Genomic DNA, 23,668 nt, shown 5'->3' on the forward strand with positions numbered 1-23,668 from the left:
GTAAACACAGTCAGAGCATTTTCTAAAGGTTTATGTCTGGTAATTTTAGGTAAAATTCAAGTAGTCAATTTTAAAAACTGGAAGATTTTTGTTTTTGGGTAATGGTTATCAATAATTCCCACAAAATCAGCAAGAGCAATCTGCCATGCAGCAGAATTGATAAAGCCTTGTCTAAACTCTTCCTTGTTTAAAGGAACAATGATTTTATCTGGGTCACTTCCACACAATTTTATTATTTGTAATCTTGCCTGACCAATTAATGTAGCCATTTGATCCAAGTACAATGTAAAAGTCTTAATCGTACTGTCAGGAAGGAAAGATCACTCCACAAGATCTGTATTTTGAACAATAATGCCTGTTGAGAATATGCAGTAGCAAAAATCAAAAGTTGGAGTGGGGCGAAGTGATCTATTCTATTTACTTGTGCTGACCGAATTTTTTCTTCAATTAATTCAATTTCTTTAGTTGCCTCTGGAGTTAATGTTCTTTTACTATTCAATTCTGGATCCCCACTCAAGATAGAGAACAAATTTGACATGGCATAAGTAAGGATGCCTAGAATTGACCAAATCCAATTAATATCTCCTAGCAATTTATGAAAGTCGTTTAATGTTTTTAATGTCTTTTCTTATTTCTATTTTTTGTTGTTTAAATTTTCTTTCCTCTACCTGCATTCCCAAGTAATGGACAGGAGTAGAGGTTTGAATCTTATCAGATGCTATTGTCAGTCCTGAGTTTGCAACCTCTGTCTGCAGAAATGTGTGACAGTCAATTAATGTGTCTCTCGTTTCTGCAGCACACAAAAGATCATCAACATAATGAAAGACGTAGTCTGAAAACTTGTCTCTAACTGGTTGAAGAGCTTCAGCTACAAAAATCTGACAAATAGTTGGACAATTAAGCATTCCCTGAGGCAACACTTTCCACTGAAACCTGGTGGCTGGTTCTTTATTATTTATGGCTGGTATAGTAAAAGCAAATTTTTCAAAATCCTGTTTTGCTAGAGGAATGGTAAAAAAGCAATCCTTCAGATCAATTATAATTAAAGGCCAATCTTTGGGGATCATGGCCAGAGAGGGCAACCCAGGTTGGAGAGCCCCCATAGGTTGAATTACAGCATTGACGGCTCTTAAGTCGGTTAACATGTGCCATCTGCTGGATTTTTTCTGAGTTACAAACACAGGAGAATTCAAGGCGAAAATGAAGGCTCAATATGTCCCTTTGCTAATTGTTCTTTTGCCCGTAAGTGTAAAGCCTCCAGCTTTTGTTTTGGTAGCAGCCACTGATTTACCCATACAGGTTTTTCTGTTTTCCAAGTTAATGGAATGGGTTTTGGGGGCTCTACAGTGGCCACTCCTAAAAAGGATATCCTATTCCTTTTCTTTCTTGATTTCCCTCAGCCTCAATTGGGATTTTAATGCCATCTCCATTTTTCCCTAGTCCTTTGCCAGGGAGATACCCCATTTTAGTCTGATTTTTTGACTCGTGGGGCTGTATAAGGAGGCTGGGATAGTCATCTCTGCATGCCATTGTTGTAACAAGTCTCGGCCCCATAAATTAATTGGAATAGCAGTAATCATAGGTTGAACTGTACTTTCTTGATTATCAGGTCCTAGACAATGTAAAATCATGGTGCTTTGATACACTTTTGAGGCGCTGCCCACACCGACAAGTCCTGTAACAGGCTTTTGTTTAGGCCAATTTTTTGGCCATTGATTTAAGGCGATAATGGAAACATCAGCATCGGTATCCAATAATCCTATAAACTGCTTTCCCTGAATAGTGACTGTACACACAGGTCTATTCTCTGAGACCTGACGAGCCCAATGAGTGGCTTTTCCGGCAGAGTTGGTACTTCCAAACCCTCCTGTCCTTTCCGTTTTATTTTCCCCAATTTTAATATAAGGCAAAAGCAATAATTGAGCAATTCTATTACCTGGATTGGCACTCCAGGGAACAGTGGAGCTGATCACTAACTGAATTTCCCCTTTATAATCTGAATCAATTACCCCAGTATGAATTTGGACTCCCTTCAAATTTAGACTTCATCTCCCTAAAATGAGGCCTACTGTCCCTCCTGGCAGTGGGCCATATACCCCTGTAGGAATCTTTTGCGGGGTCTCTCCAGGGAGTAAAGAAACCTTTTGAGTGGAACATAAATCTACTGCTGTGCTGCCTGCTGTGGCGGGGGACAGCTGTTGTATTGTTGTAATTGGCTGATTCCCTGAAGTGGTGGTATTTGCTGTGGTGGTTGCTGTCCCTGAAAACCCTGAAGAACAAACGGCTGAATCGGGAATGCCCCAGTTTGTTGTTGGGACTGAGGCTGGCCCCTCACCCCTTTTTCTGACAATAGTTGCCCATTTTTATCATATTTAGAACGACATTGATTAGCCCAATGTTTTCCTTTTCCATGTCTTGGACACAGGCCAGGTGGCTCTTTATTTTTACTCTGTTTATTTAAGACTGGGCAGTTCTTTTTTAGATGACCGATTTGACCACAATTATAACATTTCCCCCCAAATGCTCTAACTATCCTCCTAAAGTGACTCCGGTCATTGCTTGAGCCATTAGCATTGCCTTACGCATAGCTCCTCCAATCCCATCACAAGCTTTCACATATTCCGTAATTACATCAACTCCTGCTGGACCTTTTCCTTTTAATGGCTTTATGGCTGGTTGAAATTCTGGATTTGACTTTTGATAAGCCATTATTTCTACAATAACTTTTTGAGCATTATCATCCGAAACAGATTTTTCAGAGGCATCTTGCAACCTTGCCACGGAGTCTGCATATGGCTCTTTGCAGCCTTGTCTAATTGAATTAGAAGAAGGGCAAGCGGTGCCTGGGCAAGTGATGCCTGGGCAAGTGGTGTGTGGGGCACCCAGGTGCCTGGGTCCTGAATTTTTTCCCAGTCCCTGAGGCAAAGAGCCCTTAGATATTCAATACCCTCATTCTGCATTACTGACTGTTGGCCAATTGTACTCCAATTTGGACCTGTTCCTAGCAATCGATCTGCATCTATATTAACAGCGGGATAAATAGCCTGACTTTTCGTGCCTGTTCTTGTACTCCATCAATCCACCAGGTTTTAAATTGTAGGAACTGAGAGGGTGAAAGGGAAGATTTAGCCAACATTTCCCAATCATAGGGAATAAGTCTATTTCCATGAGCAATGGGATCTAATAAAGTTCTCATATAAGGGGAGTTGGGTCCATATTGTTTAACTCCTTCCTTCATATCTTTTAACATTTTCATGGTGAAAGATTCATATCTAGCCTCAGTTTGGACAGACGCTCCAGCTTGCCCCCCTTTCCCAGCTGGTATTGGTTGTAAAATTACAAGGAACTGCCATGCCTCAAGATCTCCCTGTTTTCTGGCTTTATCAATGATTTCATGCAGTGTACTACCTTGTCCACTAGGTGGTGATGTAGGACTAAACACCGCTGGGTTGCTGGTGAGGTGCCGTGCTATGTGGCACGGGACACACAGCTTGAGGTCTGTATTGAACCTCCGGAGACGGCCCATACTGAAGCTTAGCTGGCGGCCAGTATTGATAAACTACCGGTGGTTGGGTCTTATTTTCTACCAGCTGATATTGTGGATACTGTATCTGAATTGGCATGGCCGGGATAGAGACTCTATCCTTTTCTACATGATATTCTCTTGGGGTTTGCACTTGTCTAACCTGCATTTGAGGTTGTAATGTTACAGGCATCTGAACCACTGGAGGAGGAGTTGATGGCCATTGTGGTTTAGGCTCTGGTAGCCCCAATAATTCTGGACCTCCTTCCACCAGTTTTGATGATTCAGGATATATTACCTCCTGTAACTGATTGTAGTCAACATTTTGCGTTGACTGAGCCATTACAGACTCTGTTACATTTTACAATGTGAACTTTCCATTAATTTCCGGGATTTTGTCTCTGCCTCTTCTTCACAATCTACTACACAGCTTTCAGGGGCATCAGAAATTGAAAGGCTATCTTTTTCTATTTGAAACGGTTCTAAAGTTGTTTTAATAATGGGCCAATCATTCCATACTGTAAGTGGGATGATTTTATCTTCCCTACTTGCTTGTTTTAATTCTTTGCCAATTTTCCCCCAATCTTTTAGATCTAAAGTCCTTGTTTTGGAAACCATGGGCAGAATTGTTCTATTGTTTGAAATAGCATAATTAGATTTTCTGTAGAAGCTCTAACTCCCCATCTTCTTAGAAGAATTTTAATGAAGCTGAGATAAGAGGCATATTTACTTTCAGTTTGTCCCATTGTTACCCTGGGTTCCTCTGAGCACACAAGCTTACCGCATGGCTGACCGTGGAAGTACTTGGGAATCTCTCGTTGACTGTCTTCAATGCTCACGTTTTTAGCGTACCTTCACCCTAGAGAAAGGCCCACGTTGGGCGCCAGGTGAAGGGGGTCAGCCACTCCACACCTGTGGGTATTTCTCATCAGGCAGGACAAGAGACTGAGAAAAGAAATAAGACACAGAGACAAAGTATAGAGAAAGAAAAATGGGCCCAGGGGACTGCTGCTCAGCATACGGAGGACCCACACCGGCACTGGTCTCTGAGTTCCCTCAGTATTTATTGATTACTATTTTCACTAACTCAGTAAGGGAAAAGTGGCAGGAGAGCAGGGTGATAGTGGGGAGAAAGTCAGCAAGAAAACATGTGAGCAGAGGAATCTGTGTCACAAATAAGTTCAAGGGATGGTACTATGCCTGGATGTGCACATAGGCCAGATTTATGCTTTTCTCCACCCAAACATCTCAATGGAGTAAAGAGTAACAAAGCAGCATTGCTGCCAACATGTCTCGCCTCCCACCACAGGCAGTTTTTCTCCTATCTCAGAATAGAACAAATGTATAATCAGGTTTTATACTGAGGCATTCAGTTCCCAGGGGCAGGCAGGAGACAGAAGCCTTCCTCTTATCTCAACTGCAAGAGGCCTTCCTCTTTTACTAATCCTCCTCAGCACAGACCCTTAATGGATGTCAAGCTGGGTGGAAGGTCAGGTCTTTCCCATCCAATGAGGTCATATTTCAGACTATCACATGGGGAGAAACCTTGGACAATACCTGGCTTTCCAGGGCAGGGGTCCCTGAGGTTTTTCACAGTGTATTGCACCCCTGGTTACTTGAGAATGGAGAATGGTGATGACTTTTATCAAGCATACTGCCTGTAAACCTTTTGCTAGCAAAGCACATCCTGCACAGCCCTGGATCCCTTAAACCTTGATTCTATACAACACATGCTGCTGTGAGCTCAAAGTTGGGGCTAAAGTTACAGATTAACAGCATCTCAGGGCAAAGTCAGGGTACAGATCAAAATGAAGTTTCTTATGTCTTCCTTTTCTACATAGACACAGTAACCGTCTGATCTCTCTTTCTTTTCCCTGCATACGCTAGTCTTCTTCTTTAGTCTGCTAGGTATGGGAAGGGTGTTAAGAAAGGATCTCTCATCAATATGACCTGGCCCCCAAAAAGCATGCTTGATTTTTGAATGTGGTAAAGAAATATTTAAACCATGTTTTATGTCTATATGATTATTAGTATTTATATGTTATTTTCTTTTGTTTTGTTTTGTTTTTGAGATGGAGTCTCACTCTGTCATGAGGCTGAAGTGTGGTGGCACAATCTCAGCTCACAGCAACCTACGCCTCCTGGGTTCAAGCAATTCTCCTGCCTCAGCCTCTCTAGTAGCTGGGAGTACAGGCATGTGACAACATGTCCAGCTAATTTTTGTAGTTTTAGTAGAGATGGGGTTTCACCATGTTGGCCAGGATGGTCTCGATCTCTTGATCTTGTGATTCTCCTGCCTCAGCCTCCCAAAGTGCTACTATTATAGGTATGAGCCAACAAACCCAGCCATATTTATATATTGTAGGCAGTATTTTGCTAAAAGGGAATTTTGATATCTTTATAAGACACAACTAGTTTAATTAAGGAAGGAGCACTGCCCACCATGACGACAGGTATGGGTTGGTGATGCCCTGAAGCTCCAGGTAATCAATGATGTGAATGTCCCCTTCCAAAGCAGGGGCCATGCCTTGTGCAGTGAATCTCTGTCCCAGCACAGCTAATGGTCAGAAATGGATTCTTCTCAATCTGCCCATTAGGACTGAACAGGGTCTCAGCATCTGGTTAGCAGGGAGGGACCTGAGAAGGGGCTTTACTTGAGTGACTCACACTCTTTGCCCACATAGAATGTTCCTGGCCCTGTGTGTGCATCTTGTGGGTATTCACCCACTGATCAGCCACAGAACAAAGTCAGGAGGTAACAGATTTGTAAAGAGAAGTAAAGAACAGGAGGGAATTGATAAAAATGAGGAAATTTCATTTGGATGCCTGACTTCCTGGGGCAGGACCTCATTAAAAACACAGCTCGGTGCTTCTGATTTTCTCTTTTTCTTGTCTCTTTTTCCTGAGACGGAGTCTTGCTCTATTTCCCAGGCTGCAGTGTAGTGGCTCTATCTCAGCTCACTTAAACCTCTGCCTCCTGGCTTCAAGTGATTCTCCTACCTCAGCCTCCCAAATAGCTCGGACTACAAGTGCCTGCCACCATGCTCAGCTAATTTTTTTTTTGGCCCCGAGTCTCGCCCTGTCGTCCAGGTTGGAGTGAAGTGGCACGATCTGGAGATCTCAAGTACATGGACCGGGGAGGCTGCAGGAATTTGTTTATCTTGGGCTGGGGGTGCATGGGAAGTAGGTAGGGCTCCTGTGACCACAAACCCAAGGCCTCTGGGATCAGAAGGCAACAACAAGGGCCAGGACCTACCCCGGGGCCTGTGCTTGCAGGGACCCTGGCTCTCATTTGTATGTGGGGTGCCTGAGTGATTTCAGATTCCTCACCCATCCCCATTGGCTCTTCTAGGGGAGATGCAACCATAACACCTGTAGGTGACCCTGTGTAGGAAAAGACTGCAGAACCCACACGGGCCCATGCTGAGTGAGGCTTTCTCCAGGTGGGCACAAAAACCCCTAGCTCCCCAGCCACTGCCAGAGCTTGGGGTTGGGGGCCTTACATGGAGGCAAATGCAGGGAGCATTGGCAGAGGCAGGGCTGAGTGAAAGGAGAAGAAGAGCACATGGAAAAGACACAGGGGTCTCTGACAGTTCCAGGGCCAGAGGCACTTGGGAGTGGGAGAGGCATGACTGGGAGATAGGTCCAGAGCTTTTTCTGAGCCCTGAGGCCCCAGCAGGTTTACTTCCCTTCGAAGATCTCTCTGGGCTATTGTGCCTGGGAGTCAGGGCTGGCTCTGCTGCAGCCCTGTGGGAAGGGCATAGATCCCTCAGGGTCTAAGGTTCAACTTTACTCTTATCCTCAAATGAGGGCTTTTACCCAGGGACCTCTTGTCCGCAGATTCCACGTCTTCTTGCTGGACTCCCAGAGGAAGTTGTCCTACCAGGGACATGGGATGTTATACTTTTCTCTTCCATGGAACCAGCTCTGTCAGGTAGAGTTGTGCCTTTCTAGGTGGCCACACACACACACACATACTTACCATGTGGACATTGCAGTGATGCCCACTGGGCTTCGGGTTCTTCCATAGCACCCAGCTGAAAAAAGCCTCACCTAAGGCTAAGAAGAGACCTGGCTTGGACAAAAAAATACTTAGTGCATTCCAGGTGCATCCTTATCAGCTCTAAGGCTGGGCCAGGGGAACCTGGGAAGGGATGGCCCCTGCGCTGGGACCTGTCCAAGGCTCTGTCATCATCCTGGCAGCCTTGGAAGACCAGAGGGGTCAGGTCTTCCTCTGCAAGCCAGGCAGTGTCACCACCCAGAAGTCCAGGGTGCCTCTTTAGGTCCAGAGCAGCAGCTGTGGAGTTTCCTGCTTTGTGCCTTGCCATGTTCACCAACATCACTCAATATAAACTGGGGAAAATTTCTTAATTACTGCTGGGTCTCTCTGCATTGTGGCCATGTTCTGAAGTCCAGGAGAGATGGGCTGATGGCCTTGGGATGCATAAAGTGACGCCGGCCCCATCAGCTCAGGCTGAGGGAGAAAACAGAGGCTCAGGAATATTCTAGAGAGCCTAAGCAAGGGCCTCATAGGAGCTTTGGAATCCCAGTGTGGATTCTGGGAGTGGAGAATAGGTCAGGTCGTTTCCTGAGATGGGTTTCGAAGGTTGCTCTGAGCTTGGCAGCAGATGAGCACCTCGAGAAGAACTGGTGACAGAACATGGTAGAAAAGACCCCAAGTGCAGGATTCTCACTGGGGTCCTGGGGGTGCTACTGCACCCCTTGAAATGGGCAGGAAGAGGGAGTCAGTTAGCCAGTTCTTTCCAATATTTAGCTTATTGAACACCTTGGGGGTTCCACTGAGCCCCTCACCTGAGGGGTTTGCCAATCATTTGCTGCCAGAACATGGGAAGATTTTTCTCTGGCCAAATCTCAGGTTTATCAGGTTAGAAATGGGGAAAATAGCAACGTGCCTTAGATTCTCCATGAAGAAGAGCTGAGGTCCGGGATGATCAGTACCAGCCGTCTGTTGTGCCTCGTGGATGCTCAGTGAACACAGATTCTCACAACCATTATTGGTGTTGAGCTCACCCTCAGCCTCAGGTTTACAAAGTGGGGCGTGGGAAGTAGAAGCCTCACTGGGCTCAGGTGATCCTCCCACCTCAACTTCTTGGGCAGCTTGGCCTACAGGTGCACACTGCCTCCCCCCAGCTAATATCTTGTATTTTTATTAGAGACAGGGTTTCATCACATTGCCCATATTCCTCACAAACTCCTGAGCTCTAGCACTCTGCCTTTCTTGGCTTCCCAAAGGGCTGGGATTAGAGGCCTGAGGTCTTTCTTTCTTTTCCTTCCTTCCTTCCTTTCTTTCTTTCTTTCTTTCTTTTTTCTTTCTTTCTTTCTTTCTTTCTTTCTTTCTTTCTTTCTTTCTTTCTCTTTCTTTCTTCTTTCTTTCCTTCCTTCCTTCCTTCCTTCCTTCCTTCCTTCCTTCCTTCCTTCCTTCCTTCCTTCTTTCTTTCTTTCTTTCTTTCTTTCTTTCTTTCTTTCTTTCTTTCTTTCTTTCTTTCTTGCATGCTTGCTTGCTTTTTCTTTTGTTCTTTTTTGACAGTGTCATGCCATCACCCAGGATGGAGGGCAGTGGCGCCATCTCAGCTCACTGCAACTTCACATCCTGGGTTTAAGCGATTCTCCTGCCTCAGCCTTCTGAGTAGCTGGGAGTGCAGACATCTGCCACTATGCTCGGCTAATTTTTTGTATTTTTAGTAGAGACGGAGTTTCACCGTGTTAGCTAGAATGGTCTTGATATACTGACCTCATGATCAGCCCACCTTGGCCTCTCAAAGTGCTGATGTTACAGGCATGAGCCACTGTGCCTGGGTCTGAGCTTTCTTTGTAGGCCTAATGTTGATGCTCTGATAAGAATCTCTATGTTCAATATTAGCGACAGGAAAGGACTCTAAGAAGGAGGAAACATGAATTATCAAATTAGAGTAGGAAGGGAGTGGGTGAGATTAAGATTTGGATGAAGGGTCCTGGAAAATGACTGGGGCCAATGGTTGCTGGGAAATGTTCCACTGTGGGAAGATCCCAGAGTCTAAAGGAAAGGTTTCCAGATGATAGAACAATGATGGACATATGGACCCTCGTTCATTTCTCTCTCACATCCTGTAGAGCCCACAGTTTCTACCTGGGTGGCTTCCAGCTTGGGAGAGCCTCCCTTCCCAGGTCTGGCCCCAATCTTCTCTCTGGCCTCTGCTCCAGTTCACATTCTTAGATTCCATCTTTGCAAGCTGGTTTTCTGAGAGGAGCCCATCAGTTTTGTGAGTAAACACCCTTTACCTTCTAGTAGGGCCAAGACTATACCTGCCCCCTGTGTTTTCAAAGTGAATGTTATGGTTTAAGTCTGCCCTATCTCTTTTGATGATTCTCCTTTTAATTTCTGAACTCAATCTAGGGTGGGTGAGATGGCTGATGCATGTTATCCCAGCCTTTTGGGAGGCCAAGGTGAGGAGATCACTTGAGGTCAGGAGTTTGAGACCAGCCGGGCCAACATGGTGAAACCCCATCTCGACTAAAATACAAAAATTAGTAGGGCTTGTTGGAGTGCACCCGTAATTCCCAGCTACTTGGGAGGCAGAAATGAGAGAATCACTTGAACCAGAAGGTTGAGGCTGCAGTGAGCTGAAATCGTGCCACTGCACTCCAGCCTGAGTGACAGATGTAGGCCCAGTCTGAAAATCAAACAAACAATCAATAAATAAACTCAATCTTGACAAAAGACTTTGAGTCCTGACATCTAGATGCCCACAAGATAACCGCCATGTTTTACATTGTCTTGTTTCCTTTGCAGGTTCCCATTAGAACACCTAGTCTCATTCCGCTCAGTCCCCACCTCACTTGGTCACTTTGTCCTGATTTCCTTCAGTGAAGCCTTGACTTAGTCTTGAGATAGATCACACTCTCAGTGGTTCCTTTCTTCTACCTGAATGTGCATATGATCTGCTATGTTAGATAGCATAAAACACAGGTGACCATTCGATATACACAGCTTTTTATTCTGTTTTCTTGGGAATGACATCACTATCTTCTTCAGGCTATTGTAGCTCTGAAACATTTTGACAATTTTGATGTGGCCAAACATCCTCCAATAAGGACACCTTAAGGTTTTTTTTTTTTTGGTCTAATATCAGGAACAGATTAATCCCTTCCCTACATCACTACGAAAGTCGTGTATTAGCCAAACTTCATCAGTATTTGGGGAATAAATGAACGAATGAGTTTTAGACTTTCACCCTATTATTTATTCTTTTACTTCCATAAATGTGTATCTAATTCAATCGATTAGTCAGAAGAAAGCTGAAAACTCAATCAGGATTAACTGGGTGTGACTGCAAGATCTAATCAGGTATCACTTTCTGATTGGAAGCTGGTGATTGAGAAGGGAAGGGTGGGGTTAGAAAGGTCTATAAAAGCTCCTGAGGGTACCCAGAAGAGACCCACAGCACTCATTCCTGGAGCTACTGCTTGGTTCCCTGAGAGGTCCCAGAACTCTGCAAAGTGAGTCCAGCGCTGGTAAGTCACCACCTGCTTAGGGTCATGCCCATCTGATCAGCAGCCAGCCAGTCAGGGACGGTGACACACATCCCAAAGTGGCACACAATATTTTTCTGTCTGTTTCGTGAGATGAACAGATTTAGGCTTTCATTTTTCCTCTAAATGTAGTTTTGTCTTCATCCATCAAATTGTGATTTGTGCTTGGTTTTTGTCATTTTAAAATTCTTATCGAAGCAGGTTTTTAAAAAATATATTAAAAATTTACAGTGACATGAATTTTTATTTCTTGACATTTGAAGTTATCTGTTTTTGTGCCCTTCAATTACAGTTCATAGACTTGGTGTTATTGTGATTCTCCAAGTATGCTTTCATTTTCATAAAATCCTTAAAGGTATCCCACACACCAATCTCAAGAGTGCAGTTTTGCTCAGATCATGGGATTTATCTTTGCCCCTAGGATCCATCAAAAAGTGGGTAATTGTGAGTATGTGGAAGTGATGTCTATAGGAACCTTCATCTCAGAGTTACAGTGCTCTAGAATAGCATGGTAGCACTTTTACAGTTTTTGAGATGGAGTTTCCCTATTGTTGCCCAGGCTGGAGTGCCATGGTGTGGTTTGGTTCACTGAAATTTCTGCCTCCTAGTTACATGCGATTCTCCTGCTTCAGCCTCCTGAGTAGCTTGGATTACAGGCACTCACCACCATGCCCAGCTAATTTTTGTATTTTTAGTAGACACAGGGTTTTGCCATGTTGGCCATGCTGGCCTCAAACTCCTGACCTCAGGAGATCTGCCCCCCTCAGACTCCCAAAGTGCTGGGATTACAGGAGTGAGCCACCGCGCCCAGGTACAGTTAGCATTTCTATACATACCTTCCAAATGCTGTGGAATACCATCACACCACTTTTACAGTTCCAGTGAATTATTTTGTTTTTTTTCTGCGATGTACTCTGAGTGTGTCACCCAGACTGGAGTGCAGGGCCCTGAGCTGGGCTCCCTGGAAACTCTGCCTCTGGGCTTCAAGTGATTCTCCTTCCTCTGCCTCCAGAGTAGCTAGGATTACAGTCATGCATGACCACACCTGGCTAACATTTTAATTAATTAATTTATCAATTTGTTTTTGTTTGAGTCGGAGTCCAACTCTGTCACCCAGGCTGGAGAGCAGTGGTGAGATCTTGGCTCTCTGCAACCTCTGCCTTCTGGAGTCAAATGATTCTTAATTTTTTTGTATTTAGTAGAGACATCGTTTCATTATGTAGGCCAGGCTGTTCTCGAACTCCTGACCTCAAGTGAACTGCCTGCCTTGGTGTCCAGCAGTGTTGGGATTACAGACATGAGCCACAGCACCTGGTCCATTTCTGGTAGAAAATTTTCAAAATAAAAAATAATGGCATCGATTTTAGGGAGTCCCTTTAGTGTTCCCCCAGCATGTTTATGGTGTAAACTGAGAATGGAGGCTGTCTGGGGCCACAGGACACTCTCATTCTCATTGCTTTAGGGTGGTAAGTGACAAGAAATTTTTCCTCAAAGAGGTAGAGCTTGGCTTTCAGGATCCTCAGTGGCACTGTCCGGTGGTTCTGGGATTCAGTGGAGCAATGGATGAAAATTAATAAACCAGTGGTCTCCTTGACCCCTCCCTCCTTGGTGTTTGGAAGACATTCTTCCTGGTACCAGTAGAAGCAGATGATTGTGTTTGCCATGAGAGTGATACATTTTCCCTGGATTTGTCTTCTAGAGATTTTCCTTGCAGATCTATCAGGATGAGCATCCAGGCCCCACCCAGACTCCTGGAGCTGGCGGGGCAGAGCCTGCTGAGAGACCAGGCCTTGTCCATCTCTGCCATGGAGGAGCTGCCCAGGGTGCTCTATCTCCCACTCTTCATGGAGGCCTTCCGCAGGAGACACTTCCAGACTGTGACGGTGATGGTGCAGGCCTGGCCCTTCACCTGCCTCCCTCTGGGATCACTGATGAAGACGCTTCATTTGGAGACCTTAAAAGCATTGCTGGAAGGGCTTCATATGCTGCTTACACAGAAGGATCGCCCCAGGTGAGGTGACCCAGGAGGGCTGGTAGATAGGGCTCAGGTGTCCAGGGAAAGAACAGCAGGGTCAGGCAGAGAAGTAGCCCAAGTGTAGCCCAGAGTCTTCTGATGGTGTTGGCGAGGAAGATCAGGGAGGCTTTGGCCATTGTCCAGATCCTCAGAGAAAGGACTGCTCACCATACAGGGTCCACTGTGGGAACAGAAACCTGCCTTTTCTCAGTGGAAGGTAAAGGGAATAGAAGTGGGGACCACTCAGAATCCAAAGGGAAAAGGGATCAAGAAAAGACAAAGAGAACAGGGAGCACTGAGGACATGAGCAGCTGATTTATGGGATGACAATGAAAGCAAAGGTCAGGGATTTGTCCTTCTAAATTCTGAGCCTCTCCCTTATTTTACCCACAGGAGGTGGAAACTTCAAGTGCTGGATTAGCGGGACGTTGACGGGAATTTCTGGGCCAGATGGCCTGGAGCCTGGGCCCTGTCCTGCTTCCCAGAGACCATGAGTAAGAGGCAGACAGCAGAGGACCGTCCAAGGATGGGAGAGCACCAGCCCTTAAAGGTGTTCATAGACATCTGCCTCAAGGAAATACCCCAGGATGAATGCCTGAGATACCTCTTCCAGTGGGTTTACCAAAGGAGAGGTTTAGTACACCTGTGCTGTAGTAAGCTGGTCAATTATCTAACGCCGATTAAACATCTCAGAAAGTCGTTGAAAATAATATACCTGAATAGTATTCAATAGCTGGAAATTCACAACATGTCCTGGCCACGTCTGATAAGAAAGCTTCGTTGTTACCTGAAGGAGATGAAGACTCTTGGCAAACTCGTTTTCTCCAGGTGCCATCATTCCACGTCAGATAATGAACTCGAAGGACGGTTAGTCACCAAATTCAGCTCTGTGTTCCTCGGGCTGGAACACCTCCAGTTGCTTAAAATAAAATTGATCACCTTCTTCAGTGGGCACCTGGAACAGCTGATCAGGTGAGGAAGGATCATGCATTTTTTATGCAGACCACAGCATAGCCTTGTTCTCTTACAGCAAACATTAGAAGGCGTGTACTGTGTGCCAGCCAGTGGCAACGTCACAGTGAAGGGGACACCAGAATGTCAACACATTGTCCCATTCAGTGTTCCATGTCCTGGAGTGGCTATCACAGGATCGCTCCAATAAGGGCAGAGGGGTCACCTGGGGTAGAAGCTAGAGAGGGACATCATGTACAAGCTAGTTAGTGGGGGTTTCAGCTCTATTGGGGGTGCACGTGTGAATTTCCTGTTACAAAGTGTGTTTCAAGTTGATATGATGTCAAAGAGATAATAGAGGAGGGTATGAAAGGAGGGAAAGTGCATCAAACCTGTCCATTTCACAATAGAACGTCTGTCCTCACCGGCTTAGTGATCACGAATGATCCTGTCTCTGATTCCCTGTTTGTAAAAGGTTGTTTTGAACTCCAGGAAAGGTAACTGACATGGGAAATGCGTGCTTCTGGGATGGAGGTGAGGGAGTAGGCGTGAGAGTGGTAAAAAGTGACAGTTGGTTTGCAGATGCAGGCATGTCAGGTAGCCCCTGCCGACATGTAGCCCTAGCTGATGTCCCTAGACCTTGCTGAGTTGAGTTCTTTGTTCACATCTCCCACCGGGTACCTGTGGCCCAGAGATAAAGTTTTCTGCTAAAAGATGAAAAAAAAAAAAGGCTTTAGAGATTTTATGGCCTTGACCCAATCACACAAGCAATGGTGAAAGGGCTGATTCTAAAATGGGACAGCCCCTGAGCGATCAGGGTCCTCATCATGCAGCAACTTCCATGAGGACCATCATCAGATGGTGGGAACAAACTTGTGTTTGTTTGACGCAGGCATTTTCCTAGATGAAGGCACTACCTTCATCTAACTGGTACCATTGCCCAGAACTAACTTCTTGATCTCCACAGGTGCCTCCAGAACCCCTTGGAGAACTTGGAATTAACTTATGGCTACCTATTGGAAGAGGATGTGAAGTGTCTCTCCCAGTACCCAAGCCTCGGTTACCTAAAGCATCTGAATCTCAGCTACGTGCTGCTGTTCCGCATCAGTCTTGAACCCCTCGGAGCTCTGCTAGAGAAAATTGCTGCCTCTCTCGAAACCCTCATCTTGGAGGGCTGTCAGATCCACTACTCCCAACTCAGTGCCATCCTGCCTGGCCTGAGCCGCTGCTCCCAGCTCACCACCTTCTACTTTGGCAGAAATTGTATGTCTATGGGTGCCCTGAAGGACCTGCTGCGCCACACCAGTGGGCTGAGCAAGTTAAGCCTGGAGACGTATCCTGCCCCTGAGGAGAGTTTGAATTCCTTGGTTCGTGTCAATTGGGAGATCTTGACCCCACTTCGGGCTGAGCTGATGTGTACACTGAGGGAAGTCAGGCAGCCCAAGAGGATCTTCATTGGCCCCACCCCCTGCCCTTCCTGTGGCTCATCACTGTCTGAGGAACTGGAGCTCCATCTTTGCTGCTAGGGAAGGCATGCCCAGTGGGGTAGAGAAATCCAAAGTTCTCTTCCAGGCACTTGGACACTAAAATCTACTATGTAGGTGCAAGCTATTTTTCTCTTTTCTTATTTATTTCATTTTTTAATAATTCCAAAATTTTTATTAAAGACAATTTGAGACAGGGTTTCTCTGTGTTGCTCTGGGATCCTCCTGCCTCAGCTGGGCTTATGGGATCCTCCTGCCTCAGCTTCCTAAAGTGCTGGGATTACTGGCATGAGTGACTGTGTCCAGGCCACATGCAACTTAAAGGAAGCACAGGGAAGTGCTCAGTGTGAGGGAGAAAACATAACAGCAGGGGGCAAGGCTGGAGGAAAATGTTGAGGTGACATCAATGAGAACTTCAGGGACCCGTGTCCTACAGAGTCGGAAAGAGAAGCTAAAGTTCTACAGTGATGAGAATGTTATCCCTGCAAGGATGGTTACCAAGGAATATCAGAAATAAAGAGCACCTGAATGAAAACTTTTAACGTGTTGTAGCAATTTATCCACCAGAAATATCTAGTTATTGAGTTACTGATGGAAAAATAATGAAATACTACTTTGTCTGTGATTGAGTTTCAGCTGTAGAACATCAAAGCAACCAAATAAAATTTGATCATTTTAAGTATTTCCCACCCATTCTTGTTCTTTGTTTTGTTTTGGAGACAAAATCTCAGTTTGTCATTTAGGCTGGAGTGCAGTGGTGCAATCTGGGCTCATTGCAATCCTTTCCTTCAGGGCTCAAGTGATTCTTGTGCCTCAACCACTCAAATAGCTGGGACTGCAGGCACGTTCCACCAAGACTGGCTGATTTTTGTATTTTTAATAGAGATGAGGTTTTTCCGTGTTGATCAGCCTGGTCTCAAGATCCTGGCTTCAAGTGATCCACTGACCTTGGCCTCCCAAAGCGCTAGGAAAACAGGCATACAGATGATCTCCACCCATTCTTTACTTCTCTTCAGTCATCAGTTTTTTTCTTACTTTTTTGCCCACGGGGAGCAGCTCGGTCAGGCGCGAAGGGACGGGCAGAGAGGGGCCCCAAGGAGAAGATAGGAATGGGGTGGTGCCACGCTCGCACAAGATGTGCGGATGCCAGGCCCAGAAGGCATAGCTGGGGCCATCCATCAGGGGGCCAGGGTGAGAAGCAGAAATGGCACCTGCTTCAAGGACCTGGCCAGCTATCTGGTCACTGTGCCCATCCTGCTAACGGTGTCAAGCTCCCAGGTCTTGAAGGGAGGTTCTATGCGGATCCACCCCAGGCTGTGTTTCCGAGATCCGCCCCCCATAGGGGTGACCAGCCCGATTGCTGGGCCTGGAACCATGAACCACTCCTGGAGGCACTCCCCTTGACTGGGTCATGAGCCAGGCCTGTGCTCCATTTCCCTGAGGCAGCCAACTGTGCCACCCACACCCTCTCATCGCAAAATGGAACCTTGTCCCAGGTCTGGAGTCTCCACCACAGCCTCTACTTCACTGCTCACTGCCTGCTGTTAGCCTGCAAGCTCCTGGATGATAGTGCAGTTGGGGCTGGTTAAACCACACCCAGGAGCATTGGGTTTGTTTGTGCGGGGTTGGTCAGAGCTGCTGTGTATCTGCTTCTCAACTGTCACTTCTGCAGGGAAACACAGAGAAAGGGCACATCCAAGGCTGCGTACACTTCAGAGCTGATGGGAGCCTGGGACAAGAGGGAGTCCTGGTCCTCCTGAGTTGGCAGGGCAGTAGCTCCAAAGACGCAACTGAAGTTGTCCAGGTCACAGTTACCAAATGAGGTCCCCCAGTACTCTCGAGGGTCCAGGAGATCCCCCCTTCTCCTGCAGCTTGGGGGTGTCCGCTCTCACTGCCTCATCTCTCATGGCACCTGCTCTAATTTTGGAGTGTGGTTGTGGTCAAGCCCAGATGCTGTCGCAGCCCAGGTGGGTCTGTGCACACTCGGGTCAGTGCTGATGCACCATCCCACTGCTGTCTTGAACCCTCTGGACTTTGGGCCTTGATGAGTGTAGGAGGGAGGCTGAGGGGTGTTGCGGACTGATCAGCACTGGTCTTTGGATGCTCCTTGGTACAAGTGACCTGGGCTCCATGGTTGGTGGTGGGAGGCAGACAGAATCCTGGACAGGAAGGTGAGGGTCACTGGTGAAGCTCCACCTTCTGATCAAGGAGGGCCTGAAGCCCATGGGCTGGGCCACCAGTCCTATGGACCAGAGTGGGAACATGTGTTGCCTTTTCTGTGCCTGCTCATGGCCACCTATGACCCAATGAGTGCATACTTTCTCCTGTCTGATGTCAAAAAAACCCCAGACTCAGGGAGAACATTAGGAAGACCAGTGGCAGAGAGGAACTACCCACTGTGGGGATGATTTTCCTGTAGAGACAAGCAACCCCCTCCGGGTCCTTTTCTCTGCTGAGAGCTGTAGAGATGATGAGATGACTTTCCTGCAGAGAGCAGCAACCCACTCCAGGGCCTTCTCTCTACTGAGAGCAGTGGTGATGATGGAATAACCTGCCAGGAGGGAGGGGTCACCCACCCAGGGCCTCCTCTCTGCTCAGTACTAAACACTCATCAGGACGCCCTGGCTGCAGAAAGAAGTTACCCACTGTGGGTCTCTGAGCTGTTCTATTGCTCAATAAAGCTCCTCTTTATCTCACTCACCCTCCACTTGTCTGCATATTTCACTCTTCCTGGTCACAGGACAAAAACTTGAGACCCGCCTAATGGTGGGGTAAAAGAGCAATAACACAAATAAAGCTGAAACATGCCCCTTGCTCACCAAATTGTAGGTGAAGAGAAAAAGAGAAGAGCGACTACTCTTCCAGGAGCCCAGATGTGGGAGCTTCCTGAGCCAGGGCTGTGACTCCCTTTTGGGGGTTCTGCAGTTCCTGGCATTTCCAAGCTTTCAGTGTTGGTGTCACTGTGTATTCCAGTGACAACCATGGAAGCTGTTTGTGCTGTGCCTGATTCATTTGCAGCCTTGCAGAAATCTGGCACACATGCTGACACCTGGAGCTGCCCAACCCACTGCTGCAGCAGCAGCAGCCGGTGACCGTCCAAAGTGGCCAGACCCCCTGCTCACTCACACACCCCTCACCACTCCAGCCCTGACCCGCCCTTAATAGGCATGTGCTCCAGGCTTGAAACATGAGCCAAGCATAGTCTACCAGGCTGCATGGGCAGAACGAACCCAGTGAACCCCATCAAAACTCTGGCAAAGGTGCCCCCAGCCACAGAGGTTTCTGGCCAGAAGAGTCACATTCTAAGTATTCCAGAAGAGAAAATTACTTAAACACAAAGAAAGACAATAAGAAAAGGATGGAAGAGAGAAGTCTCTAAACAACCAAAAAACAAGAAATGAAATGGGAGCACTAAGCCTTTATCAATAAAAACAATGAATATAATTTATCTCAATTCTGCAAGTGAAAGGCATAGGGTCTTTGAATGAGTAAAAACATAAAACCCTACTATATGCTGTTTTCCAGAAACTTAATTCACCTATAAACATACATGTAGATGGAAAGTGAATGGGTAGAATAAGATATTCCATGCAACTGGAAACCAAAAACAGCAAGAGTAGCTGTACTTATATCAGGTAAAATAGATGCCAAATCTCACAATGCACTCAGATAAAACAGAATACAAATCTGAGCTTGTAAAATAATAGACTACGCTTACACAAACTATGCCTAGAAAGAACATACATCAAAATAATAGAAGCCAAAAATGACAAATCCACATGCAACATCATATTGAATGAAGAAACGTTGAAAGTATTCCTGCTAGGAACTACAAGCAGACAAAAATCCTCACTTTATCCACTTGTAATCAACATAGGACTGAAAATTTTTGTCAGAGCAATCTGGTAAGCAAAAGGAATAAAGTATAATTAAATTGGAAAGAAGGAAGTGAAACTACCTGTGTTTGCCAATGATGTGATCATATGTGCTTAGAAAACTGGAAAGATTCCACCAAGACTCATAGATGCGATAAGTGAATTCACTTAAATCTCAGGTACAAAATCAATATGTACAAATAAGTACCACTGTTTGATACCAACAACAAGCAAGCTGAGAATCAATTCAAGAACTCCATCCCTTCACAATAGTTGCAAAACAACAACAAAAACAGTGACAATAACAAAAACAACCTAGGAATACACTTAACCATTAGGTAAAGGATCTCTATGAGATGAACTACAAGACACTGCTGAAAAAAATCATAGACAACAAAAAAGTAGAAAAACAGCCCATGCTCACGGATTGACAGACACAATATTGTGAAAATGACCACACTGCCCAAAGCAATCTAAAAACTGCAAACATCAAACATCAATCTAAAAACGTCAGTCTAAAAATTTCATACACCAAAATACAAACACCATTTTCACAAGATTAAAAAAAGAATCCTAAGATTCATATGGAGATGAAGAAGAGCCTGAAGAGCCAAAGCAATCCGAAGCAAAATGAACAAATATGGAGACATCACATTACCTGACTTCAATTTATACAGTAAGGCAATAGTAAGCAAAACTGCGTGGTGCCAGTATGAAGGTCGAGACATAGACCAATGGAATGGAATAGAGAACCCCGGAATAAAGCCGCATACTTACAACCCAGCGGTAGGACTGCTGCTTCTCAGTTTGTGCTGAGTGATGCCCCTTGGGGATATGGGGCCAAAGTTACTGGATTTTTCCCCCAAGAAAACCAGAGAGTGAATTGTGATATCCTGTGTGATTTTTAGACTGACTATTGCCATAGTGCTTAGGTCGTCTCCAGGTGCCCAGAGACTCAATCACCAACCAGTGTCCACATTCTTGTCACCGCTGCAAGAAAGAGTTTAGGAAGTAGGCAGAATGAAGCAAAAGGCAAGAAGTGTCTATTGCAAAGCAAAGGAACACACTCAAGAGAGGGCTTATTCAGGAGAGCGAGTCAGGTACAAGAGAGTTTGGGTTTCTAATTTTATAGGATCTGTAAGGAGAGGTTGAAATAATCATTAGGATTTTAAGAAAAAATGGTGAAGTTTTCTTAGAACTGAGGTGTCATTTATTTATTTATTTATTTATTTATTTATTTATTTATTTATGTTTTGAGATGGAGTTTCGCTCTTGTTGCCCAGGCTGGAGTGCAATGGCGCGATCTTGGCTCACTGCAATCTCCGCCTCCCGTGTTCAAGCAATACTCCTGCCTCAGCCTCTGGAGTAGCTGGGGTTACAGACATGCACCACCACACTCGGCTAATTTTGTATTTTTAGGAGAGACGAGATTTCTCCATGTTGGTCAGGGTGGTCTCAAACTCCCGACACCAGGTTATCCGCCTGCCTCAGTTTCCCAAAATGTTGGGATTACAGGCATGAGCCACTGCACGTGGCTAGGTGTTAACTATTTTTATACTAAATATGGGCATTCTCAGAACCGTCCTGGCGCTGGTGTGTGACTTACTGTCATAATAGGTGTATAATTAGGCCTGGGGTAGGGCAAGGGTCAAACCCAGTGCCATGTCTGACCAATTCAGTGTCAGCCAGCTTAGCCCCTTCCTGCTTGTTTGGATCTTATGGGTCAAGGCTTATCCTTATTCTTGCAGCTAATTTTACAAGCTCTTTTCTTGCTGCTATATGAAATCACTGCTTGATATTTTCATGCTTCTCCTGTGACCAGCCAGCTTTCCTATTTTATGGGTATTTCTTTTCTTCTCCCTTCCCTTCCCTTCCCTTCCCTTCACCTCCTCTCCCATCCCCTCCCCTCCACTGTCTTTTCTTTTCCTTTCTTTCTTTCTTTCTTTCTTTCTTTCTTTCTTTCTTTCTCTCTCTCTCTCTCTCTCTTTCCTTCCTTCCTTCCTTCCTTCCTTCCTTCCTTCCTTCCATCTTTCTTGCTTCATCTCTTTCTTTCTTTCTTTCTTTCTTTCTTTCTTTCTTTCTCTTTCTTTCTTTCTTTCTTTCTTTCTTTCTTTCTTTCTTTCTTTCTTTTTTTCTTTCTTTCTTTCTTTCTTTCTTTCTTTCTTTCCACTTTAAGTTCTGGGATACATGTGCAGAACGTGCAGTTTTGTTACATACGTATACACATGCCATGGTGGTTTGCTGTACCCATCAACCCGTCATCTACATTAGGTATTTCTCCTAATGCTACCCCTCTCCTAGCCCTCCACACCCCGAGAGGCCCTGATGTGTAGTGTTCCCCTACCTGTGACCATGAGTTCTCATTGTTCAACTCCCACTTATGTGGTGTTTTGGTTTACTGTTCCTGTGTTAGTTTGCTGAGAATGATGGTTTCTAGCTTCATCCATGTCCCTGCAAAGGAAATGAACTTATTTTTTATGACTGCATAGTATTCCATGATGTATATGTGCCACATTTGCTTTATCCAGTCTATCATTGATGGGCATTTGGGTTGGTTCCAAGTCTTTGCTGTTGTGAATAGTGCTGCAATAAACATACTTGTGCATGTGTCTTTATAGTAGAAGGATTTATAATCCTTTGGATATATACCCAGTAATGAGATTGCTGGATCAAATGGTATTTCTGGTTCTAGATCCTTGAGGAATTGCCACACTGTCTTCCACAATGGTTGAACTAATTTACACTCCCACCAACAGTGTCAAAGCATTCCTATTTCTCCACATCCTTTCCAGCATCTGTTGTTTCCTGACTTTTTAATGATCACCATTCTAACTGGCATGAGATGGTATCTCACTGTGGTTTTGATTTGCATTAGAGAAATGCAAATCAAATGACCAGTGGTGATGAACATTTTTTCATATGTTTGTTGGCTGGATAAATGGTTTTTTTGGAGAGTTGTCTGTTAGTATCCTTCACCCACTTTTTGACAGGGTTGTTTGTTTTTTTCTTGTAAATTTGCTTAAGTTCCTTGTAGATTCTGGATATTAGCCATTTGTCTGATGGATAGATTGCAAAAAATTTTCCCATTCTATAGGTTGCCTGTTGACTCTGATGATAGTTTCTTTTGCTGTGCAAAAGCTCTTTATTTTAATTAGATCCCATTTGTCAATTTTGGCTTTTGTTGCCATTGGTTTTAGTGTTTTAGCCATGAAGTCTTTGCCCATGCCTATGTCCTGAATGGTATCACCTAGGTTTTCTTCTAGGGTTTTTATGGCTTTAGGTCTTACATTTAAGTCTTTAATCCATCTTGAGTTAATTTTTGCATAAGGTGAAAGGAAGGGGTTCATTTGCAGTTTTCTGCATATGGCTAGCCAGTTTTCCCAACACCGTTTATTAAATAGGGAATCCTTTCCCCATTGGCTGTTTTTGTCAGGTTTGTCAAGGTTCAGATGGTTGTAGATGTGTGGCATTATTTCTGAGTCCTCTGTTCTGTTCCATTGGTCTACATATCTGTTTTGATAACTGTACCATGTTGTTTTGGTTACTGTAGCCTTGTCGTATAGTTTGAAGTCAGGTAGCGTGATGCCTCCAGCTTTGTTCTTTTTGCTTAGGATTGTGTTGTGTATACAGGTTCTTTTTTGCTTCCATATGAAGTTTTAAGTAGTTTTTTCTAATTCTGTGAAGAAACTCCATTACAGCTTGATGGGGATAGCATTGAATCTATAAATCACTTTGGGCAGTATGGCCATTTTCATGATATTGATTCTTCAGACCCATGAGCGTGGAATGTTTTTCCATGTGTTAGTGTCCTCTCTTATTTCCTTAAGCAGTGGTTTGTAGTTCTCCTTGAAGAGGTCCTTCACATCCCTTGTAAGTTGTATTCCTATGTATTTTATTTTCTTTTAGCAATTGTGAATGGGAGTTCACTCATGATTGGCTCTCCGTTTGTCTATTGTTGATGTATAGGAATGATTTTGATTTTTGCACATTGATTTTGTATCCTGAGACTTTGTTGAAGTTGCTTATCAGCTTTAGGAGATGTTGGGCTGAGATGATGGGGTTTTCTAAATATACAATCATGTCATCTGCAAACAGAGACAATTTGACTTCCTCTCTTCCTATTTGAATACTCTTTATTTCTTTCTCTTGCCTGATTGCCCTGGCCAGAACTTCCAATACTATGTTGAATAGGAGTGGTGAGAGGGGGCATCCATGCATTGTGCTGGTTTTCAGAGGGAGTGCTTCTAGCTTTTGCCCATTCAGTATGATATTGGCTGTGGTTTTGTCATAA

At 44.9% G+C, this 23,668-nt stretch overlaps 1 pseudogene; it reads left to right on the forward strand.

Moving 5' to 3' along the window:
- The first annotated feature begins 12,777 nt into the window (after nucleotides 1–12,777).
- PRAMEF28P (PRAME family member 28, pseudogene) lies at nucleotides 12,778–15,544 on the forward strand (annotated as a pseudogene).
- The last annotated feature ends 8,124 nt before the right edge of the window (nucleotides 15,545–23,668 follow it).

This window comes from Homo sapiens, chromosome 1 (assembly GCF_000001405.40).
Source record: "Homo sapiens chromosome 1, GRCh38.p14 Primary Assembly".
Taxonomy (NCBI): Eukaryota; Metazoa; Chordata; class Mammalia; order Primates; family Hominidae; genus Homo; species Homo sapiens.